At 43.9% G+C, this 12,691-nt stretch overlaps 1 protein-coding gene across 8 annotated transcripts in view; it reads right to left on the reverse strand.

Moving 5' to 3' along the window:
• Positions 1–385: 385 nt before the first annotated feature.
• Positions 386–12,691, reverse strand: part of RBMY1D (RNA binding motif protein Y-linked family 1 member D) — a 32,316-nt gene continuing 20,010 nt past the window's right edge. For 6 of the 8 annotated variants that reach the window (XM_011531486.2, XM_011531489.2, NM_001320949.1 and 3 more), the window contains one exon: positions 12,031–12,607. In XM_011531486.2, the coding sequence (XP_011529788.1) occupies positions 12,309–12,607 (299 nt within the window). In that variant the 3' untranslated portion in view covers positions 12,031–12,308. Of the gene's footprint in view, positions 1,770–10,612; positions 11,772–12,030; positions 12,608–12,691 lie in introns of those variants that run through there. The other 2 variants (XM_011531487.4, XM_011531488.4) reach the window with 2 other exon arrangements.

Genomic DNA, 12,691 nt, shown 5'->3' on the forward strand with positions numbered 1-12,691 from the left:
TCTTCACTAAGTTGACAACAATAATTATGCAGAAAAATAGTCATTCCCATAGTGTGAGCCATTACAGCAATTTCCACCGGAGGATTTCACAGTCAGAGTCCAGATCTGGGCAACAGTGATTAATATAAAGGTTTTTTATGAGAAGAGATTTTGATATATCTAGCTGTCTTTAGATGTCAGTGCCTTGAATAGACGGGTTTGCTATTAATAAGAAAGGGTGCATTGGACTGGATACTAAGAAACATACTGAATTGTTTTTCTTGTTCTCTATAACATGAAAGCTCAACCAGAGATATAGAAACAATGGAAAATTTCACAGCATGGCCTGACATTTCACAGCACTTTTATTTTTTTTTAGCCATGTACAAATTCTTTAAATATACAAAGGTAGGACTGTTACAGGAAAAAAGTGTTGGCGTGAGAAGTCACAATCCACAGCAAAGTTAGTGTCTTGTGGATGGCACCTTGAGTGATGAATTAGAGTGAGAATCAACTTTCAGGCTGCCAACAGGGGACAAAGAGAATGAAGTTATCATCAGTTAACATTATTGGATCAATTAAAGTGAATGTTGACAGAGATTTTGTTGGTTTTACATCAAATTGAGTATAGTACTTCAAATTGATTATTTGATAAAGATAAACTCTTACCAAATTTCCCACATGTAAAATTGAGGATTAAAATATTACACAACCCACACATTATGGGTATCTCATATAAATTTATATACACATGTGCAAACTTGCAGTGTGCTAATATTTGTCTATATCTAAATATATCCAAATCCACTGATGAACAGTTAGAAATTTAGAAATTATTCTCCCATTTTACCATTCCCTTTCTTAGAATTTTGTCACAAATATAATTTTTCCATCTATTTGAAGGCTACTCTCTGGAGTCATGTAATGTATGGTTACAGTAAAGCCATGCATGAGCTATCACAGGGTTTCTATCAGAGAAATCAATAAAACTGGTGTTATAAAAGATCCACTGTGAGGAGAAATTTATACTTCACATGACTACAAATACAGAAGTGTTATTTCATTGAAAGCTGGTATCAGTCAATACAATTTGTTTTTAAAGTTTTATTTAAAATACTTAATCTCAAAAGGATTATTCGAGTAGAATAATGTTATTGGTAATAAATAATGATTAAGAATTTCCTTTCCTTTGTTGATTATTTAAAATGCAAGTAAAATACTAAAAAGTACTGTATAGTGTAGTTTCACCATGCATTCTCCGTGGTTTTTGTAAAATTAATGGCCTCAATGGAATTTTTTGACACAGAGAAATTTCCTTATATCATTTTATTAGTGTACTTTCACTTTATTACTTGCTTGCACATCATAACTGATGGAAATAAAAATATTTTTATTTACACATATACAAAGCATGGAATTGTATGTTTTCTAGTGAGAAAAAGTCACCAATAATTTTATCTGTATAGGAACATTTTGATATGCCCAAAGTTCTTAACTTTCTTTTCTTTAGAAGTTTCATATTTCAGTCTAGGTATGAGATGGAATTGACTGACTGTGATCATTGTTTTTATTTCACTATGACTACTGAGTTTCTGACACAGTGATACTAATGTATAGACTTAAAAGCTTGCCGCTTCCTCCTCCTCCTCCTTCTTCTTCTACTTCTTCTTCCTCTTCTTCTTCTTCTTCACCTCCTCCTCCTCCTCTTCCTCCTCATCCTCCTCCTCCCCGCTTTGGACCTGTCCATGTGATTTCTGCAGTAATATGCACCGTTTTCTGAAATAAGGTTGCTGAAAGATACAAGCGTAAGTGGAGTTCTTTATTTTTGTGAACCTTTAGGAACAGAGAAGTAAAACTGAAACATAGTTGTGATATGAATTTAAGTCTGCAGTTTCTCACAGAAGTACCAAAAGGATGAAAATAAATTTAAAAATACATGGCTTATCCAAAACATGACGTAGAATAATGAAAAATTTAAATTGACATAAAGACCAATTTAAAAGTTATAATTATTCCAGGTGAGAGAAAGTAGCACTAAAAATCCTATTTTCCCTGTTTAAATACATAACTATTACTGTATCTTTAGGCTTAAAAAGTGTTAAGTCTAACTTAAGCAACAACTTGGCAATTTCTAACAATGAGTGCATCATCTTAGAATTTCTCCAAGAATCTTTTGGGAGAAATATAATCTAATCTTGCTCTATAAACAATTGAATTAATCAAGGAAATTATTATGACTGTAGTCTTGCAATTTCATTGTCCTTCTCTTTTCAGTTTTTACATATTCTCTTTAAAATTCAAAATCCCCTAGGGAAAATATGATAAATAACAATGACTGAAACAGTTGAAAAACAAAAACTGAACAGCGGACACATTTCAAGGTTTCCTTTATGAGAATGCTTCACTAACCATGTAATACACACATGATATAAATCACTGTGAGAAAAAAAAATTTGTATAGCTACTTGACAGTTTATACAGTAACAGCAAATATTCTCATTTGAACTTCAAAAGGGTTTTTAAACTTGTGTTTCATAAATGAGGAAAATGTGGTTTCTATTTCCTGTATTTGCCTATTACAGCAGTTATCACACTTATTATTCCTCATTTATCTCTGTGCCTGTAACAACTGCACTCTCAGAAGGACCATGTTTTTCTGAGCTTCTTGCAGACTGCCAGGCTTACTGTGGCATTTAGAAACTATCTGCTGAATGTTTGTGATATCTTAATGCAAGTTAGATTCTAGGCCACTGATACTAATTTTCTATTTAGTATTTGGGTTTGTAGAGCTATTTTTCCTTTTCAGTTTTTTTTCTTTTTTTTTTTTTTTATTATACTTTAAGTTCTAGGGTACATGTTCACAACGTACAGGTTTGTTACATAGGGATACATGTGCCATGTTGGTTTGCTGCACACATCAACTTATCATTTACATTAGGCATTTCTCCTAATGCTATCCCTCCCCAGCCCCGCATCCCACCAACCACCCCATGTGTGGTGTTCCCCACCCTGTGTCCCTGTGTTCTTATTGTTCAACTCCTACTTATGAGTGAGAACATGCGGTGCTTGGTTTTCTGTCCTTGTGATAGTGTGCTTAGTATGATGGTTTTCAGCTTCATCCATGACCTTGCAACCACAAAGAGATACCATCTCATGTCAGTTAGAATGGCAATCATTAAAAAGTCAGAAAACAACAGATGTTGGAGAGGATGTGGAGAAATGGGAATGCTTTTAAGGTTTTTTTTTTTTAAGTATACTATAAGGATATACTTATCTGGACGTGGAGTGGACAGTGAGTGGACAGTGCAGGTCATGGTCAGTGGGACCTCCAAAGGAGGCACCCCATTCAAATTGGAGGCTCTGCAGGAGAGGGCAGCCAGGGCGCAGAGTTCGAAGGCACTCTTGGGGGAGGAGAAGGTGCTGGTGGTGGACAACATCATGGCATGGTCCAGGTGGTGGTTGAGGAGAAGCCTGACATGGAGCCTGGTGGAGGACCAGCAGACAGCCTGGCCCTGGATCCAGCACACCCCAGCCAGCCACAGACTCGCTGGAGGCCCTTCACTTGAAGCAGAGTTCCATGAATAACCAGTCCACATGGCCTGCCCACAGCTGAGATGTAAGCTTTGGCAGAGGTGCCTTCCCAGCCTGGATGGCACAGGGGCCATCAGCCAGGGCATCTCCAGCTTCTGGGCCAGAGGCACATCTTTGCAGCTGCCCATTCGGAATGACTGGCAGCAGGGGGTGGGCATCTGGCTTCTTGGGGTGGGGAGCAGGGGAGCCAAGCAAGGGGCACACGGGGACAACCAGGAGGCAGGGGATGGGGGATAGCGAAGGGAGCTGAGGCCAGGGTCCTGCAGATAGGAGGGCAGCTTGCTTGGGGGTGCCCTGAGAGCACATGGTAGGGACTGGGAGCCAAGCTCAGCACTCACAAGGGAGAATAGGAGCCCCATGGACCCTTCACTCACAGCAGAAACTTGAAGGGCATGTTTCCATGAGAAAGTCCTTGGAGGAAGGGGAGTCTGCAAGCCCATGCCAGCCATAGAAACCACCCTGGCTGCCCATGTCTGTGGCCAGCAGCCTTACCCCAGAAACACAAGGTGCTTAAGACTTGGGTTCACGGTGCACTGGGCTGCTGTCCTCTGCAAGGCAGGCACAAACTCCCCAGATACGCTTTCTTCCTTCTGCCTGTACTGCACCCAAAGAGCTGAGCATATACAACCTCCGTTGCACAAACACCTCCATTACACACATGGAAGCCCCATGGGGAGCAACAGGCACAGCCCTGCAGTCCCCTCTATCCACAGCAGCTCCCTCAAGTGAACACGCCCACCCCTCAGGAAGACCAGGAGAAGAGGGGACTGCACACCTGGACACCCTCAGCAGAGCCAGTCCAGCATCCAGCACACAATGACCATGTGCAGCTCAGCAACTCTGAAGATACAGCCGCCTCACACAACAGCACCCCACACCCAATCCCCTGCCTACTTGTGCCGCCCGCTCCTTGTTGGCAGGAGCTTTCCGGGCCTCCCTCCACCCTCCCACAAGACCACCACAACCACTACCATGCCCCCAACACTGGACAGAGACAGGACCACCAATGCAGGGTACCAGGTCAAAGGTTTTGGGATAGCCCTGCCAAACACTCTCCCAGCTCTTGCAAAGTTGTGGGGTGTTTCCTGGCATGCCCACCCAATCATCTGGAGGTTCCTTGACCAGAGGCAGATTGTGCAGCACACCTACATGTCGGCAGAGTTCAGAAACCATGAGGAAGTCCTGCTAAGTAAGCTACAGGATGGATTTGAAGCTCAGCCTGAGGAGCCGGGGTCTGCGGGACGGGTCCAGGGTCTTGCTCAGGTTGAGGTCCTCCTGGGGCACAGGGGTTCTGAGTGGTAGAGCTGGGAAGGGGCAACACATGCTGCACCCCAGTCAGCAGGCCCTCAGCCCAGATAGATGAAATGGATCCTTTGAGTCTGTCCTCTTCTTCTTGGCATGGCAGGTGGAGGAACTCAGCCATCCCAGGTACCGGCAGCAGGATGAAGTGTTCCTTTTGTCACAACCTTTATTTCCACAATAAAGTGATCATTAAGGAATATCGTGTTCACATCCTTGGTAAGGAGTGCCTCCTGGTGTGGTAGAGGGTGGAGTGTGGGACGCTAGGCCTGGCATGAGCCTTTTTGACTCTTGTTCCAGGATGCAGGGCCACTGGCTCTAGTGTAGTCCAGTGGTTCTAGAGTCATCAGAAGAAGCCCCACCTTCAGTAAGGACACAGCCTACCTGAGCTTCCTCAGCTAGTTGGCTGACTGTGACCACTCAGGGTCAGCCAGGACTGCTGAGGCAGGGGCCGCTGTGGGGCGTCATGGGAAAGGACCTTGCTGGTCTTTCCTTGGCATCTTGGGAACTGGCTTTGAACTATGACCTGACCTTTCACAGACCACTTTCCCCACTCCTCCAGATCATCAGTCAGGGCTTCCGTCTCAATCCCCTGCAGCACTACCTAAGGATTAGGTCCTCAGAGAGGGAACAGAGAGGAGGCCAGGTAAGCAGCCCACAGCTGGGGGCTCAAAGGCCTGTGGGTCCTGCAGCTGTGACACACATGGAGAACTCAAGGCTCAGGGAGGAGCCTGCAGTGAGAAATCCCAGGCCATCCCTGGACTGGGGCAGAAAGGCCCATCAGGGAACTGTAACACTCATATTTCAGAATTGGGGAACCTGAAGTGCCTGAGGCAGAAGTGGCAAAGGTCAATGGGTGAGAAGCAAGGCTCAAGGGATAGCTGTCTCATCATCCTTCTCTGGCTCCCTTCTACGCCTTGAGGCCTGCTACTACCTGGGGCTCAGTTTGGGCTCAACTAGAGTGCACGCAGGGCGTGCCTAGGTCTACGTACTTCTAGAATGGCTATCCCAGCCCTGTCACGTTTTGTTTCAATGACCCCAGGCTCCCCTGACATGCTTTATCCCCTCTGCCATCCTCATTCATGCTTCCCCGGCTCTCAAGACATTTCCTATGACATTAAAAAATAGACATAAAGTTTTTTAAATGCCTTAATAATATAGATGCAGATAAAAGATTTCATTATAAAAAGTGCTTTTCCTCTTTACTTGTATCAAAGTCTTTTTCATGATGGGGAAAAGAATGCAACATACTTTGGTAAGTTAAAAAAGTATAAAAGTAAAAATAAATCCTACTGCAGATGATCAATTAAATGGCAGGGGATCTTCTGTGTGTGTCCAGGGAGGGTACGTGGCTGAGCAGTAAGCCTCACCTGAGTATTGGTGTAGACACCCAGTTTCCCTCGTACCAGTGTGGGTATGGGCACATTCCAGTTTGCGTGTCCAGCCTGTGTGTCTAAGCTGATGCACGCATGTGCACACGTGTGCCTGTGTACCTTTGTGTACCTTGGTTTTGGGAGGGCCGACACTCCTGCCCACAGGTGTGCCTCAAACTCAGCTCTTAAGCTGGCAAGCAGGGTGCCGCTGGGTTTGGCAATCCAACTTCAGGACCCGTGAAGTCTGCATGCTAGGGAGAAGCAAAGAGTCCTCATGGTTCTCACAAATGGCAGAGGGAGGAGGAAAAGGGTGGCTGGCACAAGCTACCTAGAGGAGATGTCATAAACCTGAAATGACACCCAGAGGGATATAAAACCTAGTAGCTGCCTGTGTTTACCTGTGTGTTCGGCTGGGGCATTCAGGTAAGAATCAGTGAAACCTGCAGGGCTTTGGGATTCGCTATTCGGGAATCCCTGTGCACCAGAGTCTCCGGCCCATGAGAGAGGACAGCATGTGGGTCCGGCAGGGCCTGAGTCTCCAGGGAGGGTGGCATTCTCCCTAAGAGGGCATGGGTCAGTAGGTGGAAGAGAAACCTGGGCTGTGGGTTCAGGTAGATGGGACACTTGCCACTTAGCCAGGTGGGAGCTCAGGAGAGGGCCAGGAGAGCCTAACTGGCCGGTGACACCCCGTCCCAGTGCTGGGTGTGCGCACACGAGCTTTGCCCCATGCACCCTCTCCAGGATGCCTCACCTGGGCAGACAGGAAGCAAGGCACACAAGATCCTAAGCTTATGGTCATGAGTGGACCCAGACTGGGGGGTCCCTAGGATCACTGTTCCCAGGAGAACCAGGCATGCAGGGTCTCTTCAGGACAGGGGTAAAATGCATAAGCCCAGCTCTCCACCCAGTGAGTGTCATGCCCTGATGATGTCAGCCATGGCAGATACAGGTCTTCCACCTAGATTGCAGATCCACAGGCTTACAACCTCCCCCTGGCCTTCTCTGGGACAGACCCCTGGACTCTGGAACAGCCAGTGCCCCAGGACTGTTCCTTCCCCGCCTCCAAGCTCGTGGGAGGCTCAGTGAGGACTCTCCTCCTAGTACATGGCCACCCACAGGCACTGTCAACAACCCAGGGCCCTTCTACATTCCGGGGTCCTGCCACCTTACCCAGCAGTGGGATAATGGGAAGGCAAAGAGCGGGAACAGACAGAGCGGGGGCCACAAGCCTCACCCTCCCACATGACAAGGGAATGAGGGGATCCTTCTCAGCGCAGGCAGCTGCTTTCAGAACATACCTGGAGGCACAGCACCAGCTGAGGGATTCACTCTGCCACAGCTGGGCATGGGGGATTTCAACATGTGCCAGGGACCTTGATCCTGGTTGCTGTACCAGGTGTATCTCTCTTCCAGATCACAATATGCTCACACCCTCCTTAACCTGAATGGACTCCTTGTCCTCACCACATGGTGTTAGCGGGAACTGCTACTCCTGGTGCCCCAGCTGCAGTTTCAAGGTGAAGAGATAGAGCAGCACACCCCTGAGTCCTTGTCCTCTTATCCAAGTAATATCCATAGAAATAGTAAAATAGTGGCATATTAGACCTATTGACATTTTTAAGGCTGATCTCTTTATAAGCATTTCATCCATATATTTATGACTTTATCTCATGTATTTTATTTATAACTCTCATTTCAAAATCAATTTTTGCTCAAGTTATTTCAACATATAGCCAAATGTTCAGAGCTATGATACATAGGTTTCAAGTTTAAAAGTCTGTATCTGCTATTATTTTGGGAAAAACCCATCGAGCACTTGTAAAAATAAGGAATTATTAGGCATGACCACTGTAGTGGTCTAAAACACACTTTGAAATTCTTCTCACACCCATTTGAAAATATTCCTGATGGGACTGAACACAGTACTTGCTTGTAATGAATAGAAAACAGTGCAAGCATTTTCTGGATACTGGACCACCTCTGGCCTAGTTTAGAAAAGGTGACACAGCTCTGCCTAACTCTCCTGCTCTCATCCCCCTTAGGAGCCCCCGACCAGTACATCACGAAGTCTAACACCCTGATGACACTATGCAGAAGGGACATCCAATGGAGAGACTCAAAGAAACAGAACAAGATGTCTGAGCATCTCAGCAGTCCAGCCCCTGCTATTTGAGTCACGCTAGCCATGGCACCAGGGAGATGAGAAGACACCCGCCAACGTCCCCAACCTTGGCCATCACTAGATTGCGTCCTCCTGAGTGCCCCAGAACCACAATCATTTGGCTGAGTGACTGCGGGGGATTGCAGAGACTGACAGTTAGTAAATTATAATTATTGTTTAAGCCACTAAGCTTTAGATAATTCTGAAAAGCACTTTAGACTCCTAGAAAAACTGAGTTGTCTACTGACTTAATTGCAGAGAGCTGTAAAGGCCAACATCATGAATGCTAATACCCTGGAAAAGTCAAATCATCGAGACTCTTCTAAACACAACAGATCTTTAATGCCCCTTCGCTATGGCTGGAGAATAATCTAACATGTATCTGATAGAGTTGTTTGAAAGCCTCTGTTCACATCTCTCAGCCTGGTATGGGTCAACTCTGGTCTGCTTTAATTCTAGGCAACTGCAGCAGTTCACGTTCCATTTTAGGTCGTGGCCTACACTGATTTTTTGATCACTGACCGTGTCTTTGTCTGTGTGTGTATGTTTTGTGTGTTATCATATTTTATCTGAGGAGGCTAAATAATAGTACTATAGTTTTGTAAACAGAAAACATTCCAGGAAGTCAGTATTGCTTATAAACTGAGCTTTAAAATAGATATGAAATTAGACATGGCAAGATGCCATGTCTACTATCATACCAAAGCTAGCCAAGCTTGGTGGCCCATGGATATTATCCCAGCTACTTGGAAGGCTGATGCAGGAGAATCCATTGAATCCTGGTGATGGAGTTTGCAGTAAAGTGAGATCACACCACTGTGCTCCAGCCTGGGCAGCACAGCGAGACTCTGTCTCAGAAATAAAAAGAGAATAAAATAATAAAATAGGAGAGATTACTGAAGAGACAAATGCATAAAACTGGGTGGGCATTGTGGCTCACGCCTGGATCCCAGCATTCTCAGAGGATGAGGTGAGTGGATCACTAGAGGACAAGAGTTCAAGACCAGCCCGAGCAAATATTGTGAAACCTGGTCTCTACTGAAAATAGAAATACACACACACACACACACACACACACACACACACACACATACAGGATTGGTGTCATATGACTGCAGTTGCAGTTGCTTAGGAGAGTGTGACTGGACAATTGCTTGAACCCGTGATAAGGAGGGAGCAGTGAGCTGAGATCACGCCACTGCACTCCAGCCTAGGTGACAGGGCAGGATTCTTTCTTAAAAAAAAAAAAATCAGTGAGAGAAAAAGATACAGAGACAAAAAGAAAGAAAGACAGGAAGGAAGAAAGGAAGGGAGGGAAGGAGGAAGGGAATGAAAATTTGTACCTAACAGTTGTAGATACTTTTGGCATACATGTGATATTTTGATACAAGTAATGTGAACTGGTAAGCGAGGGATCAAAGAGGGGATGGGGGTGGGTTAAATTATACTTGCTTAGAAGGAATAATATCTAGTGTTCAGTGGCACAGGATGACTACACTTAATAATGATTTATTGTACATCTCAAAATAATTAATAGAGCGAAGGTGGAATGTCGCTGATACCAAGAAAAGATACGCCAGACTCAGTGAGGTGGAATGTCGCTCATAATGAGAAAAGATATGCCAGACTCAGTGGCTCACGGCTATAATCACAACACTTTGGGAAGCCAGGGAAGGAGGATTATTTCGGTCTGGGAGTTTGAGACCAGCCTGAACAATATATCCAAAGCATTGTCCCTACCACACACACACAAACACAAAAGCTGGGCACGGTGGTTGGTGTGTGTCTGTAATTCCAGCTACTTGGGAGGCTGAAATGGAAGGCTTGCACATTTCAAGCCCGTGTTCAAGGCTGCAGTGAGCTATGATGGTGCCACTGCAGTCTAGGCTGGACAACAGTGTGAGACCTTGTCTCTAAAAAAGAAAAAAGAATCGGTAAGTGCTTGAACTGAAGGATACCCTATTTATTATGTATATATTTGTTGATTGATATAATTATTTTTGTGTTGGAGTCGCACTCTGTCACCCAGGCTAGAGTGCATGGTGCAATATCGGCTCACCGCAGCATCAGGCTCCCAGGTTCAAACCACTGTCCTGCCTGAGCCTCCCAATTAACTGCAACGTACTACAGGCAGGCACCACCATGCCCGGCTAATTTTTGTATTTTTGGTAGAGATGGGGTTTCATGGTGTTGGCCAGCCTGGTCTTCAACTCCTGTCCTAAAGTGCTCTGCAAGCCTCGGCCTCCCCAAGTGTTAGAATTAGAGACCTGAGCCATCACACATGGACAGTAAGATACACAAGACTCGGGAGATTTATCTTTTCACTTCATCCTCACAATGCTACAGGTGAATGAAAACACTCCATAACATGAATAACTCACTTGAAAATCAAAGTTGGTAACTTCTCCCTTTAAAATTATTTGTACCCTTACCCTGTAAAAATTGATGATTCTGTCAAAATTTTTCAAGAAAATACTTCCTCCTTGCAGATTAGTCTGTCAATTGTAAGAATTATGGACTGCAAAACTTCTGGAACTTGATGTATTTCATTTCTTTAGTTTGTATAATCAGGAAAATTAATTCATTTAGTTATTTCGGTCTAAATATTTGTATCATTCAGTGATGTCTTAAAACTTTAAGCAATCCCGTCGGAAACTTTATGCTGTTGTTTATGTTTTATACACTTCACTTTCCCCTAAGTATGAGGTTTAAAGCGTTTCCATTCATATTATCAATTAAATACGATAGGCTGACAGTGGTGGCACACGCCTATAATCTTAGCACTTCGGGAGTCTGAGGAGGGTGGATCAGGATTTTAAGAACAGCCTGGCAAACAAGGTGAAACGCTGTCTGCACTAAAAATACAAAAATTGGCCCCGCTGTGCGGCACACATATCTAATACCAGTTACTCAGGATGCTGAGGCAGGAGAATAGCTTGGATCCAGAAGGCAGCGGTTGCCATAAGCCAAGACAGAGCCACTGCACCCCAGCTTCGGCGACAAAGCTATACACTTCATCTCAAAAAAAAACTGATACTATCCCAACCACTCTAGATTATTCCTATCTGTAAGAACATATTACTAAACCATTACTTACAACATCCACTGTCAAAATATTCAAGAAAAAATTAACGTGGGAACCTCACAAGACAAAACACTTACTTTCCACTATTTAAACTACGAACATTTAAATTCATTATGCTACGCACCTGAGAAACTTAGCTGGTTCACTTCTGATTTAGGTGAAAAAAAAAGTTTTCATTACCGTTATCCTCTTCAGTCACAGAATGCTTCACATAGAATGTTCCGGATGTCTTAAACTTTAGTATCAATACATCTAATGATTTCCTTTGACCTGTACTATTCCTCTAAAAAATAAACGTTTTATGGTGAGGCAGACAGTTTTGTAGTCTTTCTGAAGACTTCTCCAACATTTTAACCTTGTTAGTTTTTAAAGAGAAACAGCCTAATTACAAAACTTGAGCAGCTTGCAAGGGCGACATAACACATCCCTAATTTTGTACCTATGTTCAAAGAAACAAAGGAAAATGTACAACAGACTACACAATTTACTCTCCTATTGAATTTGCTTTAAGCATGCGCGGCTAACCAATAACACCAGGCATCTTGCAGTACATGTCAAATTTTATTGTGAAAATTTTAAGGTAGATATTACATCTAAACACTTTTCAAATAGCATCAACAAGTATGAAATTACTTTGAAAACAATTCCTTTTCCTTTGAATACCTCAAAAAATTCATGGAGGAAGTTAGTATCTACCTCTCTCCACAAAACCAACATGTTTCTTTCAGTAATATGCAGGTAACAATGCAGAAATAACATTTCAATTTTTGATTTGCAAACAAGGATTGGTATGCAATAACTATTATTTTCAATGCTTGCTTTAATATCTGCTCGAGTCTCCTTTTTCAGATCGACTCTCCCCACCATCTACTATAGATGCCACATAACTTGAGCTACCACATGCTTCACGAGGATCAGGGAGCACCCTACCCAGAGAAGGCGGATTCCTTTGGTCTTTTCTGCAAACATGCTCACGATCACAATAATGAAAATCACCACAGCTCGAGTAACTCTCCCAACTTCTGCCATATCTATCTCGTGTATTACTATATGCGTGGCAGGTGCTTCCACCATAGGACATCCGAGGCCCTCTTGCAGGTGGTGCACCATGAGAGGTCCCTGCAGGGTTGGTAAAATAATATGTGGGACTACATTTAAACATTTTTACTGCTATCATTAAAGCATGAATTAGTTAAAGTACTA

Source organism: Homo sapiens, chromosome Y (assembly GCF_000001405.40).
Source record: "Homo sapiens chromosome Y, GRCh38.p14 Primary Assembly".
In the NCBI taxonomy this organism is placed as follows: Eukaryota; Metazoa; Chordata; class Mammalia; order Primates; family Hominidae; genus Homo; species Homo sapiens.